This window comes from Homo sapiens, chromosome 7 (assembly GCF_000001405.40).
Source record: "Homo sapiens chromosome 7, GRCh38.p14 Primary Assembly".
Classification (NCBI taxonomy): Eukaryota; Metazoa; Chordata; class Mammalia; order Primates; family Hominidae; genus Homo; species Homo sapiens.
In genome coordinates this window covers 36,624,989-36,645,217 of record NC_000007.14, presented here as the reverse complement: position 1 = coordinate 36,645,217, position 20,229 = coordinate 36,624,989, and the positions used below count along the sequence as shown (strand labels likewise).

Here is a 20,229-nt window from a genome sequence, read left to right as displayed (position 1 = left end):
GCCTCATGACCTAATCACTACCCAAAGGCCCCACCTCTGAAAACCATCATAGGGAGATTCAGGTTTCAATCCAAGAATTTGGTTGGGGTGGGGGGCACAGACACTGCCTCATGCTGTAGTTATTTATGCACTTCCCTCCTCCAGTGGGCAATAAAATCCCTGGAGGATCTCATCTTTCAAATCTTGCTCCATTTTAAAAATCAGTTTATACCAGTGAATTTGGGTGTGAGGAACAACCTGTCCTAATAAACTTTTAGAAAAGATCTGGGGTAGATGAGCAGTCTCCCCCACCCCCACCTCCCCCCTCATTCATGCATGCTCTTTGACAATAAAAAACGCCCATTTGGAATCATCATTTTACTTCCCAGGGGCTTTCTCCTTTGTGAGAATCTGTCACTGCTGTCAAATGTGTGAAGTGAACAAAGGCACATTTTGTACTTTTCAAATCTACTGATGCTATAATTGATAACAGAGAACTTGATCACTCAAAATTGTTCACTGTAGAAACTCATGCCTAAAAGCACTATTTTTCTTTCCTTTCTAAGTGTACCAGAATTCAATTCTTTAACATCACAGAACCTTAGAAAGCCCAGTTACTGAATGTGTCCTGTGCAATTCACCATACCTTAAAAATGTCTCAGGACATTCTGTTGTGTCCCTGAGGATCCTCTGTTCGCTACGGTCTTCGTATGTTTACCACTGTAGTCAATATAGCTGAATGGACTTAGGCTGAAACCATTGAATGTTTAGGAAATGCACAATCTAAATAATATTTATTCCCACAAAGCGGCCCAAAGCCTTGAATACACGAATGCATGGTGTGGCTTTCTTAAGGTAGGAATTCATTCTCAGTTTTCCCAAACTTTTTTAAACTTAAAAAAAAAAAGCACACCGTTTAACATCTATCTCCCAGCGCAGAGTGAAAAATCATGGACTTTGTGCCAAGTGGGTCTGAATTGGATCTGGACTGTGCCACTCATTGGCTCTGTGACTTTGGGGGAGTTATTTACCTACTCTAAGCCTCAGTTTACCACATCTGTAAAAGAGGGAGAATAGCAACTACTACTTAACACTTTCTAAACTGTTTTCTAATTACAGTGTTTACTGTCAATCTTCTCTCCTACATTGTAACAGCCTTGATGTCTCATTCCCTACTATTTCCCCAGCATGTAATTCATGGCACAACATTGTATTAGTCCATTCTTGCACTGCTATAAAGAGATACTTGAAATAGGTAATTTATAGAGAAAAGAAGTTTAATTGGCTCATAATTCTGCAGGCCGGTACCAGGAAGCATGGCTGGGGAGGCCTCAGGAAACTTACAATCATGGCAGAAGGCAAAGGGGAGGCAGGAACCTCTTATATGGCAAGAGCAGGAGGAAGAGAGAGCAAAGGGAGTCCTACACCCTTTTAAACAACCAGATCTCATGAGAACTCACCCACTATCATGAGAAGGGCAAGGGGGAAATCCACCCCCATGATCCAATCACCTCCCACCAGGCCAGTCCTCCAATATTGTGGGTTACAATTCGACATGAGATTCGGGCAGAGACACAAACCCAAACCATATCAAACATAAACACTAAGTAAGTATTTGTAAAATAAATGAATAGAATGAACAACTGCACAAAAAAATGATTGAATGGAAGAATACTTCTTTCTCCTTTCTTACCACTCATATAGCTGCCACCATGCTTGTGCCTGGGTTGCATGAATTTCCACCCAGGTGCGTGGCTTTTTGACACCTAGAGCCAGTCCTCTCCCCTTGGTATCTGACCTTTTGCATTAAACCATCCTCGCTCCATGGGAGCCACACTTGCCATTCCCCAAGGCCTGGTGAAACCTCATCAATCATATTTTCTTGCTTATGTTAAAATTTCAGGCTTACTTCATTCTTGGAAAACAGTGTTTCAGTGGTGGGAAAGGCACTAGAGTCTAGAAACTAGAGTGCTAATCTCAGCTGTGCTTGCAGACTGGCCTGGGTTAAATTGTGTCATCTCTCTGAGCCTCAGTTTTCTCATCTGTAAAACAGGAACAGTAATACTTTCTTCTCAGGGTGATTTTCAGGATCCTCAAAAAAAGCATACATTTCTGTAGGCTGATGTTGCAATTATTATACTCTTTCCAGTTGTTTACTGGTGACATTACAAACCAAAATAAAAACACCAATTATTGTTAATACTAATGTCATGCTTACTAATATGCAAGACACTATTTTAAGTACAATCTTTGTCAATCCTCACAACGCTATTATCTCCACTTTACAGATGAAGAAACTAGGCTCAGAGTGCTTAAGTAACTTGCCCAAGGTCCTACAACTAGTAACTAATGAAGCCAGGGTTTGAAACCACAAACACTCTATGGTCCAAAATCATTTTAAATAGGAAATAGCAATAGAGACCAATATTTAAAGAGTTTCTATTGAAGACGGATGTTTTGCTCACATCCAAATGGTTTAATCTGACCACAGTACTTTCTTTCTTTTCCTTGGGCTCCCATGTGGCTTACGCCTGGCAGAGTACAGATACTAACAGTACCACTTTGCCCAAAATACTGATGGTGATGAGCACTTGGCCCTTGCTCTTTCATCATCCAAATTACTCTTAGCTCAAGGTCGAGAACAAAAATCACCCTGGAGAGCGAGAGTTGTATGAGTCTGTGGGGGCTGTGACCACCAACTGGGTTGCTTAAGCAACAGAAAGCAATTGTCTGACAGTTATGGAGGCTGAAGTTCAAGGTCAAGAAATCAGTAGGGTTAGCTTCTGATGGCTGTGAGAGAAAATCTGTTCTATGCCTTTTTCTCTTAGCTCTGGTGGTTTGCTGGGAATTTTTGACATTTCTCGTAGATAGCATTCTCCCTGTATCTTCACATCATCTTCCCTCTATGTGTCTTTTTCTCTTCCTTTGCACAGTGTTCTGTTTATAAGGATACTAATAATACTGGATTAGCAGCCCACCCTACTCCAATATGACCTTATCTCAGCTTAACTATTAGGTTGGTGCAAAAGTAATTGCGGTTTTTGCTATTGCTTTTAATGGCAAAACCGCAATTACTTTTGCATCAACCTAATAATTACACCTGCAATGACTCTTTTTCCAAATAAGGTCACATTCTGAGCTTCTGCAGGGTTATGATCTCAGATATGAATTTAGGTGAGACAATTCAAAATTCAACCCATAATAGCAGTCAGTAGTCCCCAAGCCTCTCCTCTTGTCTGAAGACTTTGGGCTGGCTTTGATTTGGGTAGACGCTTAAATCATTCTAGACAGAAGTGTTTTAGTGAGCCACCGTGGCTATATACTACTGTGTGCTCTGATGATCAAGGACTAAACAGAGACTGGGAAAGGGCTGTATTTTTCAGACATTTTCTCATTCCTCTGTTCAGTCAATGTTATTTCTTCTAAGGTAGCATGGCAGGTGCAAACGTAGGGAGTGAAGGGGGTCAGGGAGTTGCATAAAGGCAACTGTTACCGTCCTCACCTACCTAGAGCTTGAGGTTTAGTGGGGGAATGCGAAATGTATGCATGGGAGTGTGTTATAATGTAGAATGCAAAGGAAACAGAAAAGGAAAGCTCGGCCCGAAAGCTAGGAAAGCTGAGAAGGCTTCAGGAGGAAGCAACCCTTGTAGCGAGCTTTCAAAGGAAATATCTGAAAATTACAGCCCTTTCTTAGTCTCTATTTAGTCTTTCTCATTTTCATAATTTTGTGAATTTAAGTCAACAGGCACTTGTTGCCTACATGCCCTGGGCTCAATGTTATTGAAGATGTTAAGGGAAATCAAAAATTACAGCCCAGAGCCCGAAGCCCCTGCCCAGGAGCTCTGAGAGTCATTGGGGGAACAAGACTTCAGCGCTGCAACTGGAAAATTATCCAAAGGGGGCTGAGGAGGGGGGGCTTCTAGAATGGCAGTTCCCGGGTGAATCCCTGTGATGCCAGTTTTGAAGGCCAGAAACTCCATTTTTATTATGATCTGGCACACTGTAAACAAGAAAGCCATGCATGAGTCTTGAAGACTGAAAGCTCTGGGCCTGATTCCTGAGCAGACCTCCCTCTAGTCTGCCCCTACCTTTGTGATCACGTGAGGTGCTTGACCTCTGGGTGGACTGCGCTGTAAAGTAGGGAGGATGTATACTTTCTAGGGGTGAAGAGGGATTTGAGTAGGAGCTTAGCTCAAGCTGCAGGTCCCCTAAGAAGCTTTCTCAACCCCTGAGGGTGATGTAAACCATTGTCCTTTGCACCTGTGCCCCCTCGGCTCCTGTGCACAGCTATTCCGAGCCTGGAATCTCTGACTTACTCACCTTTCCCCACCTACTCAAGGCCATGAGCTTCCTGCAGGCTCTTTTCTACCTCATTGCAGCGGCTTCAAGTCGGCCAGGCTGGGGTCCTTCTCTAGCCTTGGGTGATGCCCAGGGTTGGAGCCAGTGGTGGCTTCTGGAGCTTCCCTCCACTATTCACTTTATTGTTGGGTAGAGTCAATTGCCATTTTCTGAATCTTAGGTAGAGTACCTGCAAAGGCAGCTGCAGGACAACTCTGTCACCATCACCACCAGATTGCCATCCCTAAACATGGGGACAGCCTCTGCCAAGGGGCAGTGGTGAGTGCCGCCGAGACAAAGGCTGCAGACAACCCTGGGTCCAAGGGCACGCCTCCACATCTTTGTTACACCTAAACTTGCACCCTACACACAGCCACTCTGTCTGTGCTGGCTAAGCCCCTGTTGCCCCGGCCTCAAGGGTGCTGGTGGGATTCTACCCTAGGGTCCCTTCCCTCACTCCCCATGTAGCCTTCACCTTTGAGAGTGCTAAAGGCCTGACTGCTCCCTCTTTGCTTCAATTTGATGTTACCCAAACTGCATCTTGCAGAAATGCTTCTAATTTTCTAGTTTGTGGGTCCTACCCATCCCCAATTTCCAGCAGAAACCCAGATTTTCCTAGCAGTTATTGTGACTGGAATTTGGAAGTGGGTGCTGAGTAAATGGGTGAGTCTGGATGTCCATCTGGGATCAGGACTCTGTTCCCACTCTTGGACGCTTCGACTCCCCCTCCTTGGCAAAAGCTGGTGCATTTCCCTGCAGCCCCGGCCCTGGCTTCCTGCTGCCACCCCCATGTGCACCAATATCGGAAACCCAGCCACATCCAGATGAACCCACCCTAGACCTCCCGGGAGGACACACAAGCCACCCATCCCGCCTCAGCACAGCCTCTGCTGCAGCACTTGCCACATCCTGTTTTCATAGCTTGTCATTACCTCCCAACAAACATTGAGCCCCAGAGAACCGAGCTTGGTTAAAATGAGATTGGTTCTCTCAAAGGGATTCAGCCCTCTCTCTGCTTCATCTTATTTCTGTTTACTGTACTTGCTCGAGGTCAGTCCCCTTGCCAGGGAGAAAGCTCTGGGAGGGAAGGGATGTCTATGTCATTCACCGTGGGGTTCACCACCAGATCCCCAGGGCCTTCACTTGCATATCAGTGCACGGAGCACATCATTTTCTTCAACAAGAAACAAGACAACATGGATTGAGCTCTTTTTTGAAAGCATTTATTACTGAATTGGTATTCATTGTTTAAAATTTAGAAAACCAGAAAAAGGCAAAAAGGAAAAAGTTATCACCCATCATTATTATAACATATTCCTTTGCAAGGTTTTTTCCTATGTGCATAAAATCTGGTAGCCTATTTTCCTCGTTTAACATAATATCGTAACTATTTTCTTTTGCTTTTATTTCCATGTTTACTGAGCACCTACTATGCCTCAAGGACTGTGCGAGGCTCTGAAGATTTTAAACTGGGCCTGAGAATGCAAAGGACTATTTCTGAGACAGAGAAGCAGGGGCACATGATTGAGGCAGAGGACTACCACCTTCACATTTTAAAATGTGGGGAATGAGCTCTTTGCTGATAAAAGTAGCCACAAAGTCACCATAAGAATAGTTTGCATGAAAATCTGGTGTCTGTTACACTGACTATGCCAGAGAATCTTAATTTATACAATAGGAGAATTTTAGGGTTTGCTAGAATTTCCAGAAAAGGCCAAAAGTGCATTTAATGAGGTCAGTTTTTGAATGGGGTCATTCTCTAAGCAGCTTTTGTATTAAAGATGTCATGTTTTAAAAGTGAAGATTGGGATCAGCTCTTTTGGCCTACTGCCAACTAATCAGAATGGATACTGGGTGCAGTTGGAGCACAGCCTGCAGATGCCCACTGGGTGGGACTATCACAGTGGCCCCATAGTTGACGGATCACAAGGAGGCCTGGGAGAGTCCAAGGAAGAGGCTGGGTGGTCAGAGCAAGAGTGGAGGACTCTCAGGGGCTTAGGGACACAGCTGTTCACCAACTGGCACAGTAGTCTTTCAATATTTTAAGAAACATACACCGTAGCAGGGCATCCTGGCAACCAAACCCACCTGAAGAGCATCTTTTCCTCTTGAGTCATCAACACGCACTCTTAGCAGCCAGCAGACAGAGCTTTCCAATTGTTGAGCAGATTACTTCAGGGCTGTACAGGTAGCAGGCCCAGGAGGGATTTGGCAGGGCCAGGACATGCACATTCAGTTGGGTTTGAAAGCTCTGGGAAGTAGTGATGAGAGAAAACCCTCCTCCTCCCCACCCAGCCCAGGGTTACTCTTCTCCCACCCCTCCACAAATAGACAAACACAGTGTTCTTTGGAGTTTCACAGCAATCATTACTGGTAGTAATGAGCTAACTCTTTATATTCGCAATGTGTGTACCCTTGGAAGATGCACTTAGATGCTCTCAAAATGGTTGAAAGAGGACAGGAGATCTCCAACCAGGGGAAGAGGAGGTGACTGAGAGATGAGGTGTTAGCTTGCACAGCAACAATCAGCCATTCTTCACTGCCAAAGCACAAGGCACTCAAGTAGGCTGTTGACAGCCTCCTGCTGGGGGGTTTTAGACACCAGGATAAGTTGCTTATGGAGATCAGCGTAGCAGAAGGGTCAGGAAGCAGAGGTTCAGATTGCCTCTCTGCCAGACCCTATGAGATCTCTTAGCTTTTCTGCATCTCGGTTTCCTCGTCTATGAAATGGTCGTATCTCACAGGGCTGTTTGAAGAGTAAATAAGATAATGTTTCCAAAGTGCTTAGCACTGCATCTGACACAAAGCAAAGCCCAAAATAAAAAGAGCTATTAATGTGAAATTGCCTTCTTGTGAATTATTTTATTACAAATTTATGGAGTGGTTCATTTATTGAAAACTTATGGACTTTAAATATCCTAATTTTAGAAAAGATGTAGGAAGAAAAGATAAAACATGAGTTGTAATGTTCTCTAACTTTGTTTTTATAGGAGACATGGAAATTTACACTACAGAAGGCAAGACAAATTGTCAAGAAGTCCCCGATTCTGGTAAGCACTAAGCACGTAGAACGCCAGCCTTTTCCTTGGCATGTCCTCTCTCACTGGCCCCGGCTTTCACATCCCAAAGGCAAGGACTACTCCGGATATAAGCCTGCAACATGCCATAGCTACGTGGGGATGGAAGTAGGAATGTGAACTGCTTCCACTTGTGTTTCCTGCCTTCTCACTACAGTGTGGTTTTTCAGCCTCAGCACTGCTGACACCTGGGGCAGAATAATCCTTTGTTGTGCAGGCTGTCCTGGGCTTTGTAGGGTGTTCAGCAGCAACCCTGGCTTCTACCTACTAGATGCCAGCAGCACCACCATCCACCCCTCCCCAGTCACAACAACCAACAATGCCTCCCAGCATTGCCAAATGTCCCCTGGAAGGCAAAATCACCCCCAGTTGAGAACTGCTGCTTTCCAGTAGACCGTCTTGGAGGAGGCTGTATCCTCCTGCTTCTCCACTTTCTAAAAATGTGACCTTAAGCACGGTGCTCAACTTCACTGAGCCCCAGTTTTCTTGTCTGTAAGACAAGGATGATAATAGCGTCCTCCAGTGTCAGTACTGATAGAGTTGAGAGTGCAGAGAGCATCTGGGATCTTGGCTAGGACTTACCAAGTCCTCGATAAATGTGAGTTAGTTATCATAATTTTTATTCATGTTTCCTTAATTTGTCCTCTGTGTAATAACACTCTCGTTCAACAGATAGAATATTTATTTCAGATCAGTTCTCGCAGGCTTACGTATTTGACTTAGGCCCTGGTTGCAAATCAGCCCATTTGAAAAGGAAGCAGAAAAGTAGATCTTTAAAGCACGACATTATCCTCAATGCCAAAGATACTGGCAGTAAGGAAGCATCCATCAGCAATGGGCAATGGGAGGGCAAAGACCTCGTCCTTGGCTTCTCCCTGCTGGCTAGCTCATCATTCACCTTGATACACTACATTTGAGGTATTATTCATTTGGCAACATAGAAATAAAAGGGAGGAAAATCCCTCATGGCTAGGCTTGCCAGATTTCGCAAGTAAAAATATGGGATGCCCAGTTAAATTTGAATTTCAGATAAACAACGAATAGTGTTTTAGTATATCTAGTGTAATATTTTATCTGGCAACTCTGCTCATGGAGGGCCTATGGGTTTTTATGAACAAGGCCAATAAATACATGTTAAGTGACAGGCAATATGTAGGCATTTCTACATAACTGATTAATCAATCACAATGTCTGCATTGACAATCATTATTTAATTCAGTGAATAATTAAGGGCCAACAGTAGCCCGTTGAGCTAATTTGCTTAAGTTGTTGAATAAGATATTAAAAGACCACAGGAAACTCTTGACCACCCCCTTCAGAACTCTGAGCAGAAATGGAGAACAATACAATTGGTATTTTATTCTTCTCCACACACCCCTAAAAACGTATTCTCCAGGCATTGTTTACTTCAGTAGCAAAAACTGCCTTGGCATTAACTCCTAATTAGGATTTTACAATTTTTTACTTCTGTCACCAGAATTGCAAGCATAATTCACGGGGCAGGATTCCAACAATTACTCGCGAGAAGTGAAAAAAAAAATTCTACTGAACAATTCAACAATAAAAATACTCTTCTGAAACCTCCACCAATTTATTTGCTCTCCAGATTACAGCTATCAAGGCAAAAATAAACAGAAAATGCAAATAAGTGTGTCTGAAAAAACTGCTCGGAGAGTAATTAATAATTCCACTGTGATGGCTGATATAACTTCAGACCTGGCCAGGGTACAGAAAGCTGCACTCAGTAGGTTCCATATCATTTCAGCACAGCCTATCGGTTGGTGAGAATTCAGACTTGAAAACAGTTATGCATTATTGAAGGAGATCAAACATTCCAGATAAAGCCTGGATCTCAATGAGGCCATGAGAGGATCCTAGAGGGAACATTTCATGGATTTGGCAGAGCATCGAGCATCTAAGAGCACCTGAGTTATGGAATCATTTCATTCTCAAATAGATAGAGTATTTTTGTCATCAGCCCCATTTTATAGATGAGAGGACTGAGTCTCGGGTAGGTTAAGTTATGTGCTCACCCCACATAGCTAGTAGGTGAGAAACCCCACGTTTAAATCCAGAGCTAGCTATCTCCACGTTCAGTACCCTTTCTACTAGGCCAGTAGCTTTCAACAAGGCCTCCTTAGTACTAAACTTTGGGGAGCACCATTTACGTCACAGGCTATGCGGATATTGGGATCGTACAGTGGACAACCTGTGCAGTTACAAATGACAGCCCTGATCACAAACCCACCCGCTCAATAGAATCATCTGGGAAGCCTATAAAAATTGCCGAGATCCAAACCCCACCCTAGACCAATTAAACCCAGGTAATATAATACACGACAAGGGTTGAAAAGCACTTTGCCACACAGAAATTCAGTTTCAGCCTGGCTGTGTACAGAAGAGTGATGACTGTCCCACTTTGACCTTCCATTTACCCCATTCAGCCCATTTTTCTTTATTCAACCCGTTTGTTGTTCTGCATTCATTTGACATCCTGGTGCATGGGGAAGCTCAGGAAGCCGGTTAAATAGATTGCAAAGCAAAGATGCTGCATGACTCCTGTCCCCAGGGACAGCCCTGATTTGAGACTCTCATTTTAGATGGGATTAGATGCAGCCAGTTGCAATATTTTAAATGTATTGCTGAGTTAATAACAGCCCACATTTTGTCTCTATCTAGCAAAGTTCAAATTGAAAGGAGGAGGCTGGCAAATAGGCAAGCAAGACTCATACAATGTTGCTCGGGGCCCATCTCAGTTCTCTTTGTAAGAGAAGGGTGGTCTTTCCCATACTATGTAATGAAAAGACCAGATAATCAAAACCTCAGTCTAACCAGGAGGAATTCTAGGGGCCCCTATATCATCTGCCACCCACTTAACCCCAATTTCTACACAATGAATGGCAAAGACAGCTGCAGCCATCAGGCTGAATTTTGACAGCAAACAGCTGTGCAATTATATAATAGTATTCTATTGCACCTTTTGTCTAGTAATTATAAAACTGTTCATATCAATTTTTAATAGTTTGCTATTACCAGTGTTAAAATCTAGACTGTTGTTAGGAGAATTAGACCAAGGCCTTCAGACTAAACTGAATATTAAAAGTACCTCAAACATTCAAATGCAACCTGACTTTGGACTCTGGATCTCAGATAGTGTCTGTATTTCCGAAGTGCTGTCAATGTTGTAGTGTAGCAGGACAAGCCGCAAACAAAACTCCTCAGACACCGAGTTAAAGAAGGAAGGGATTTATTCGGCCAGGGGCATCGGCAAGACTCCTGTCTCAAGAGCCGAGCTCCCCGAGTGAGCAATTCCTGTCCCTTTTAAGGGCTCACAACTCTAAAGTGATGCGCGTGAGAGGGTCGTGATTGATTGAGCAAGCAGGGGGTACGTGACTGGGGGCTGCATGCACCGGTAATTAGATTGGAACAAAACAGGATAGGGATTTTCACAGTGTTTTTCTATATAATGTCTGTAATCTATAGATAACATAACCGATTAGGTCAGGGGTCAATCTTTAACTACCAGGCCCAGGGTGTGGCGCCGAGCTGTCTGCTTGTGGATTTCATTTCTGCCTTCGAGGTTTTACTGTTTCTTTCTTTGGAGGCAGAAATTGGACATAAGACAATATGAGGAGTGGTCTCCTACCTTAGTAGAAGCTTATGCTGATGCTTGTTTTGCAGTGTGTCCACAATCCTGATCTTAGTCAGCTACTAAGTCTCTGGAGTCACCCTTCTAACCACCCCTTCTTCACACCATCACCCTCCTCCGCCCTGTTTCCCATCAGTGCTTCCCAACTCGTGGCAATATTGCCCCTTGCTCCCACCCTGGGGACATTTGGCAGTGTCTGGAGGCAGATTTGGCAATGTCTGGAGGCAGATTTGTGCGGCGGGCATCTGGGGGTCACAGGCCAGAGATGCTGCCCAGCATCTCACAGTGCACAGGGCAGCCCGCACAGCAAAGACTGAATTATTATCGGCTCAACATGGCAATAGCACCGAGGTTTGAAACCCTGAGATAGGGCCTTGGGGTCTCTTATCTCAAATGATCCTTCTCCAGGCCATCTTCCCACGCCTAGAGACATCTTTCCGAAACGCAAATGTGATTCCTCTGCCTGACACCTCCACGGCTTCCCCACAGTCCTCAGGGTAACATGTAGTGCTGCACTCCAGGCCCCTGCTCCCCGTCCTGTCTCCTTCCTTCCATGGTTCACTGCATTCTGCCATTCCGATTCTCCCTCCAGGTGGGAATGTTTGGCATTCCTCTAAGACACCAAGCTTTCTCATACCTCCACAGCACTGCTCGGGCACTCCCTCTTCCGGGAGCCAGGCTACTTCAGCTTTAGTGTGCATCCTGGGGACGTTGTTAAAATGCAGATTCTGATTTTGTAGGTCTGCAGCAGGGCCCAAGACTCTGCATCTCTGAAAGCTCCCAGGTGGCATCAATACTCCTCATCTGTGATCACACGTTGAGTGACACAGACCTAGAGCAGTGGTTGTCAAGCCTTAGTGGGCACCAGAATGACTTGGAGGGCTACGAAGACATAGGCTGCCACGACCCACCCCAGGGTTTTCAATTCAGCAGCCCTGAGGTGGGGATGTGGAAGGCAAGGATGTGCATCTCTAGCAAGGCTGTGGCCCGCACTGAGTCACAAAGCCTCAGGCCGTCTCTCTTCCTCCCCACCTGCCTCTATCCCACCTCACTGCAGGGTCATCTGCATTCTCCTCCAGGTTCCTAGAGACACGTGCTAGTGCCTTGGCCTCTGCAGACCCCACAGGGTGTGCCCGGAGCTGGGGCCTCCACCCTTGCCCTCCACTCCACGGAGAGCTGAGGACAAGGACAGCCTCTTTGTCTCCACATCTTACATGGAGCTGGGCCACCAGTCAGGATTATTTCTCCTCCTAGAAAGCTGGGCAGGCATCTCAAAAATCCTTAAGTACCTCATTTATATTCTGAAACGGTTGCTGATTCTCTCTTGCCAGGGTCAAATATCGCCAATGCCCATAACACTCCTCATAGCCATTCGAAGGACTCAGGGCTGGCAGGAATCCAGTGTCTCTCTCCCTTCATTGATAAATGCTGGTGCCTCACTTTTCTACCCTATTGTCTTCTTCTCTTTCTTTAAGTTGAGGAAAGCATTGTGGAAACTGCAATGTTTCTAAAAGCACTGCTTGGTAAAACGTCAGGGCTTTTAGTGTAGCCCACATCTGGAGCCTCATAGAAATCGCTGTCTAGAAACCCACAGCTCAAGAAGCACAAGGGGCTTGGTCTGTGCACCTCTCTCCTCTGTGGGGGAAGGGACCTTCCTTCCTCCCAGACCCCAGATTGGTCTCTCCCTTTAGTTTTTATTTCCATAATGAGATGGAATTATTTTGTTTGAAAATCTTCTTTATTTTTAAAGCACTTGGGTAGAGGAATGCTGTTGCCGGACCCTCCTGGAACAAGGTGGAGAGTGAGGGTGGCTGGGAAGCTGGGAAGAGCTGGCTGGAAGAGAAGGAGGGAAGGCTTCGGGCTGAGGAGCCCGATGGGCAAAGGCACAGGCAGTGGCATGGATATGGATGGTGGGGACAGGAACAAGAGGTAAATTTAGAGAGGTGAAATGGGCTGGATTCTAGAGGAAGGAGGATCCAGAAACCTCAAGTTCAGAGGGGCCTTTAGAAGGTGGGGAACCACTCCTTAAACTAAACAACTCTCTTTTTGTTTTTTTTTTTCTCCCCAGAAATATTCTAGAAGTGGTTCTGACATTTGTTCACTCCCGGTTTTGGCCAAGATCTGCCAGAAAATTAAATTGTATGTATACAATTTCTACCTTCCTGAGCACTAGCATGTAATAACGTCTTTGCTTGTCCCCCTTTTCTAATGACCAAAATGATCTTCACACTTAAAAGGCATCCCTGAAGGTGAGAGTGTTTCTTTCTCAAAACATTGCACAGAAACCAAAAGACAAATGAGCTCTGAAGAAAATCGTTTGGGAAATATACTGAATGCCAGCATCTTTGCATCTCAAAGCTGATCTGTTCCCCAGGCTAGAATGCAGCCCGCAGTGAGGCTCACTGCCGGCAAGTGCCTGCCAGCGAGGTGCCCACTGCACTACACCTGGAAACAGCCCCTCTCTGCATGTGAACTATGGACCAGGGTGGGCAACTGGGCATGGAGAAGACTCTGAGCATCTTTAGTGCAAGACACTCACAAGGTTGGACAGGGACTGTGTTTTCACAGCGCCCAAACTATTACATGAAAAATCTGGCTCAGATACATAGGAATAGGGTTGTGAATGCAGAGACACTGTCCAGAATTCCCACACCCTCCTGTCCATATTCCAGCTCCACTTTGAGTCTGGGGTTATGCTAGACATCGTGGTAACTGCTGTTCAAAACATTAAAGGGTGAAGCCATGTCTTGAGAGGGCACAGGACTCAGAGGCAAAATAGCATGGGGTCTACCCTCCACTAAGCTACTTCTTTTTTTTTTTTTTTGAGATGATGGAGTGTCGCTCTTGTTGCCCAGGCTGGAGTGCAATGGCGTGATCATGGCTCACTGCAACCTCTGCCTCCCGTGGTCAAGCAATTCTCCTGCCTCAGCCACCCTAGTAGCTGGGATTACAGGCGCACACCACCACACCCAGCTAATTTTTTGTATTTTTAGTAGAGACGGGGTTTCACCACTTTGGCCAGGCTGGTCTTGAACTCCTGACCTCAAGTGATCCACCCACCTCAGCCTCCCAAAGTGCTGGGATTACAGGCGTGAGCCACCAAGCCCATCCCATTAAGCTACTTCTAATATGACCACTGCTGCTTTGCTGCTATCAGGTTTATGGGCGCTGTTCCAGGTGCCAGATGCTGAACTTTCGATATGTTTCCTCACTTAGTTCTCACAACAATAAAATGAGGTAAGGGTTATTATTATTCCCATTTCACAGAGAAAGCAACTGAGCCTTAAAGAAGTAACTTCTGCTGGGCCACTGAGGACCCAAGATACACCCCCAGGTGCATTTGATCTCATGTGTTCTTTGGGAATATACATATTCTTGACTTCTTTGCAATGCTGCTTCTTGAGCTGACTTTGAGAACTTGGGCCACTTAATGTCTCTGAGCCTCTGAGCCTCAGCTTCCCCATATCTAAAATTTAAGTATAAACTAAATTATGCCTATGTCTCAGAATCATCTTGAAACGTTTTAAAATCCAGATTCCTTGGCCCCAAACCTGGTGGGGGAGTGCTGTGTTTTCCTGGAAATTTTCCAGGGAATTCTTAGGCCCTTAGACCCCACACTTAGACTCCTGGGTGTCCATGTCCACCCCATTGCTCGCCTTCTAGTACAGGTGCAAGACTGCGAATGCTACACATACAAGTGATGCTTTAATGACTCAGAATAATGTTCTTTAGCCGTGAGATATTTATTTAACCACACCATCTGCCCCAGCCCCTGCTTCTTTTACTCTTCCTCTCCCGCAGGAGCTCCTATTACTTTAGCCTGTGCTAGCTCAGCCTTGTGGATGGCTGAGAACACACAGAGGTGAGAGTTAGGCTGCACACCTGGACTGAGAAGCTATAGCTTCCTATGTCTGCGGTTACAAAACACCACAAACTGGGTGGCTTAGAACAACAGAAATTAATTCTCTCTCAGTTCTGGAGGTCAGAAGTCCAGAGCCAAAATGGCAGCAGGGCCACGCTCCTTCTAAGATTCTAGTTGGATCCCTTCTGTCTCTCCCTAGCTTCCAATGGTGGCCGTGAGGCGTTGGCATACCTTGCCTTGCAGCTGCATCGCTCCAGTCTCTGCTTCATCTTCATATTTGGCCATCTTCCCTGGGTGCCTGTCATTTCCTTTTACAAGGACACCACTCATATTGGATGAGGGTCTGCCCTAATGCCCTCATCTTAACTTGATTTGATTACACTTGTAAAGACCCTGTTTCCAAATAAGGTCACATTCGCAGATACCAGGGGTTAGGACTTCATCATATTTTTTTCATGAACACAATTCAACCCCTAACAAAGACACTTTTCCTTGTTCTGCCATCCTTCATCTCACGAGCTTCATGAGTACTAAGTCCACTGAACATCTCTCATCTGTTGTAATAATATCCAGGGACAGGAGGAGGCTATGATTCAGACCCACATTTGGAGCCTCTTAGAGAGATCCAAGAGTTAAACAGTTAAAAACTCTTCCTAGCCAATCTTCTGGCATAAGCCCCTGCAAGCCAGCTATGTAAAGTGCCATTGCAGGTCCCAGAAGTGCTAGCAACACCCCTTTTCATGACTGGGGATGAATCCAGAGAGCATCAGGACATGGGGAGTAGGGGGCAGATATCAGACATGAAAGAAGATGCTGGAAGACTGAGATGCAGCCAGCTCCCCAGGCCCCCAATCATGTCATCATGCCTAGCTCCCATTAAATCGAGCCCCCTGCCCCCTCCCTGTTGAATGCATTATTGTATTTTCTGTGTTAGATGTGGGCCAGCAGGACACAACAGGGTCAAAGTGACAACTCTTCAATTGAACCACCTTTGAAAAATTGAATTCAAGAGCATCAGTGGCCAGGGATTTTCTTGGTCCAATTTGAAAGGGAAAATTATTCTTTTATGAAAAAGCAAAAACTGTGTTTTCCTTCTTTCTAAAAAATCACTGTGTTTCAAGTGTCATATGCAGCAGGTCACAACTGGTTCAGTGCTTTACAACTTAAAAAGCACGTATACATATAAATGCAGTCTCATGTATTCTTCAAAGCCATCTGTGGTTCAGTAAAAATATTGATAAGTAAAAGTTATCTGGTGCTGTCTATGCACCAAAAACTGTTGTAAATCCAACCATTTAAGGTCAGCACCATTATTTTCTCCTTTCTAAAGAGGTAAAATCATTTGTGCAAGGTCACAGATCCGGTAATGGATGAATCTGACCTTTGAATCCAACAGTTTGCTTTCCATTGACCCCTCAACTCTTAGCCCTACGCTTTAGAGGAACAAGTAGGTTTTAAATGCCTGACCCACTAGCACGGAGTCCTCACGTGGTAGAGACAAGACCTGCGTGTCTTCTGTGGCATATTCCTTCGATAAAATTCCCCCAGGAGGAATGCCTTACCTGCCCAGTGCCTCTCCCTGCCCTCCGTCCCATTCGGTCTAATGCTTTCAAAATTCATTTGAGGTGTCTCCACCCCAGGGACGCGTTCCAGCTCCCAGGTTACTTTCAGTCGCTTGCACAGCCCTCCTGGGTGCTCCTGGCTCCTCTTCAGTGCCCCCAGCTCCCTAGTGCCTGCTCCGCCTTATCCCATTCTTCAATCCCTGCTTCCTTGCTGGTCTCCCACATCACCCATAAGCTCCTGGAGAGCAGGGATCCCATTTCTTAGCAGGAGGAGCTCAATGAATAAATGAGGGAACACATGAAGGAAAAGCACCACTTTACCAGGAAAACAAATGTGTAGCTATCAGGCTATGACCATGGAGTGATCAAGTTTTTTGGTGTTCTGTTTTAATCAGGATACCTAGTGCCTACACACTGTCTGTATTTTACTTCAACAGTGGTAAGTCAGGAGGATCCCCTCTTTTTAAAAATCTATTCTTTTTATTTAATGTCTATATGCAGAAACCCCCATATTATTTCACATAAATATGTGCAAACCATCCTATCTCTTGTTGATTGTGTTAATTCAATGCTATGTTTTTTCCTTTTTAGCCTCCTCCTTCCCCATACCCTGCTACTTCCACCCACATCGGTCCTGCCCCCACCTCCAAGCTGAGCCACGTCTATAGGCAGGTGTGCCCTTCCATGGCTTCTCTGTTCTCATTTCATTGGATAACACATCCACCCACATACGCAACCAACCCACGCCCGGCCCTCGAGAGCTACCTGAGTCTCACATGTGAGGCAGGCACACATGGAGATTCATTCTCACCATTTTTCTTTTGTCATAATGCCCCAGTTTCATGAAATAATTTTAGGGAGTTTGAACTTGAATAGCTCAATACTGTGTCATTAATAACAATCAGCCACAGTTACAATTGCTCCCTGGATCAAGCCGACTCACCTGATATCTGGTGGCAGGCGGGTGCAGAGCAGGGGCAGCGAGTGACACCAGGCTGCATGGTCATTGAATAGAATGTCGTGTGGCCAGAAATCTGAACATCTGAAGAGGGGCCATGGATTGGGATGGGGATGTCTCTAGAAACCAAATCATGATGAGAGCAGACACCTGACTCCTGCTGCCCCTCCCGAGGAGCCATCCTTGCAATCAGGGTTCCCATTGCACATGAAGTAAGAGCTCATGTGTTTTGTTTTGTTTTTTTTTTGAGTGCTTTCCATGTCTAAGAAATAGTTAATGATATTGATTCTACTTTACCAATGAGAAAACTGAGGCACAAAAAGATTAAATAATTTGCATAAGGTCACCTGACAAGGAGACAGCAGAACTGGGATTCAAACCCAGAGAATCTAATTTCAGAACCCGGAGCTACGTTGAAAGAATTCCCGTGGCTTTTCCTTCCCACTACGCTGTCCTCAGTCCAATTGCTTGCCTTGAAAATGCTGTCTCATCCTTTAGCTTTCACCTTAAGATCACTTCTTCTGCTATACAGAGTTAGAAACGTTTTTTTCCTCTCTACATGCACAACCCGCTTACAGCATTTTTCACCCAGGACTATAGTTATCTTTTGATGCATTAATTTCCTTACCCATGTCAAGCTCCTAAATTGCAGGAACTGTAGGAACTGTATCTTGTACTCATCTCTGGTATCTAATATGATTCCCAGCACACAGCAGGGACTCCCAAAATGCCTGTGGAATGAAGGAATGAATGAATGAACATTTCAACATACAGCTAGATATTTCTAAGGATACATAAGGTATCAAGTTCAGATGCAATTCTGCAGAAATAATTTTTAGTAAAGTCAACAATGTCTTATTCAAAACCTTGGAGTTGCCGGGCACATTGCCTCATGCCTGTAATCTCACCATTTTGGGAGACCAGAGTGGAACAACCACTTAAGGTCAGGAGCTAAAGACCAGCCTGGGCAACAGAGCAAGACCCCGTCTCTATAAAAACAAACACAAAAACAAACAAACAAGAAGCCTTGGAGCCAGATATGATTTGAAATTCAGGTTTTTTATATTCTAGTAAAATAATCAATAATGCATATACCATAACCCACCTGCTATCCCTGGCACCTCTTGATCAATCACATTTATATTTCAGAGTGAAATATATGAATTTTCACACTAAGTATGATAAAGCTTACGAATTGCCCTATATCAGTTCAGGTCAAGTTTTGCTACCAAATGAAGTTGTTGCTAAGTTGAAAAAAATTTTGATTAGTGGGCTGTGAAGAAGGGATTGTGGAGATTACACAAGTTGCAATTTATGCTACTCTGAGTACCCAGTCTACCCACTCATGTCTAGAATGCATGGCTTTGGCCAGTCACTTGGGGCCTTTAAAGTAAGCAGACAAAGGTTAATAAATCAGCTTTCCAATCTTAAAGACCACTCTTTGTTCCTTCTTTCAAGGACAAACTCTCACCCCCAAGATAACAAAGGTGGGAGGGGATAGCTTTGGCACATGCCCAAACGGGACCTTTCCTGCAGCTCCTTTTTCTTTCTCAGGCTGAAAATATGGCTGTTTGGGTCTACGTCATTTCTGTCTCTTTCTCTCTCTCTCTCTCTGTTGATCTGTCTGTCTTTGTCTCTTGCTCTTGCTCTCTTTCTTTATCTTCCTTTTCTCAACTAGAAAAATACACGCTGTCCAAGAGGCCAAATACATACATGGGGAAAACTGCCTAGTCTCACAGAAAATGTGACCTTCAAAGCCTTTTCCAAAACTTTTCTTAAGAGTCACAGCTGATGTTGGATGACTGCAAGTCATTTGGTCCAAGCTTTTTCCGCATTTCTTGACAGATGATTAAAGTGAGAGAAAACCATTTGTAGTTCAGAGTAGACAAGGGATGGGGTGGATCTAGAAACCCTGGAGCATCAGAGCAGGAAGGATCCCAAGGATGATCTTGCCCTAGCTTCTCTCCTGCATAAGGGAGAGCAGCGTCACAGCCTCTGAGCCCACTCGGGAAGCTTCATTCCCCTCCGCTCCCACCATGGGAAAATCAAGGTGTGGGTGATCATGGGGGTGGAATTTGGCTACAGCCCACACCTGAACTGTTCCTGGACAATCTTCCACCTTCCCCAAGGCTGGTTCTCACTTTTCCTGTAAGTGTGGATGTGTGGAGTCAGCAAGTAGAACGTTTCTAATTTCCTGCTGGTGGCTCTCTCTCTGGCCTTGTTCAACCCACCCCACCCCAAATGGAAGGGGGAGGTGAATTTCCTCTTTCGGACAGCAGGCACTCATAATCACAGCTGCAAGCACTTTGTGAGGACCAATACTGGGGGCTTTTCATGTGGTTTCCCTTAATCCTCCCAATAAACCCTGTGAGGGAGCTGGCAGGAATCACATTTTACAGATTTAAAAATGAGGCTCAGGGAGGTTAAATAAACTTCTGAGAATTGCCGAGCTGGTGAGGAAGCGGTGGATGGAGCAGTGACTCCAACTGACTCCAGAGTCTTTACTGAACCACCATGCTCAACTCAGTATCTGGCAAGAGCACTTGAATTCAAAAGGATAATTCTTCTTGGAGACACTAAGAGGGAGCCTGCTGCCTTGTCCTTTCAGGGATCCAGCCTCCCCTGTCCCCCAGGGCAGGAATGTAGGAAGGACTAGTGATGAGACATCAGCTTGCAGCTCCCTCTTCATTAGGTCCACTAAGTGGCTATTGACTCCCCACACTCCCTACTTTTCCCTACCCTAACCAGCACTCACTCATCCCAGGGTCCTCCTCTCAGTGGTCCAGTCAGGAAACAGAGCTGTG

The 20,229-nt window shown here is 45.1% G+C and overlaps 1 protein-coding gene across 14 annotated transcripts in view; it reads left to right on the top strand.

Annotated features, from left to right (window-relative positions):
* Positions 1-20,229, top strand: part of AOAH (acyloxyacyl hydrolase) — a 211,554-nt gene that overhangs the window by 79,277 nt on the left and 112,048 nt on the right. For all 14 annotated transcript variants that reach the window (NM_001177507.2, XM_011515334.3, XM_017012102.3 and 11 more), the window contains 2 exons: positions 7,308-7,367; positions 13,112-13,182. In NM_001177507.2, coding sequence (NP_001170978.1) covers positions 7,308-7,367; positions 13,112-13,182 — 131 coding nt within the window. The remainder of the gene's footprint in view (positions 1-7,307; positions 7,368-13,111; positions 13,183-20,229) is intronic.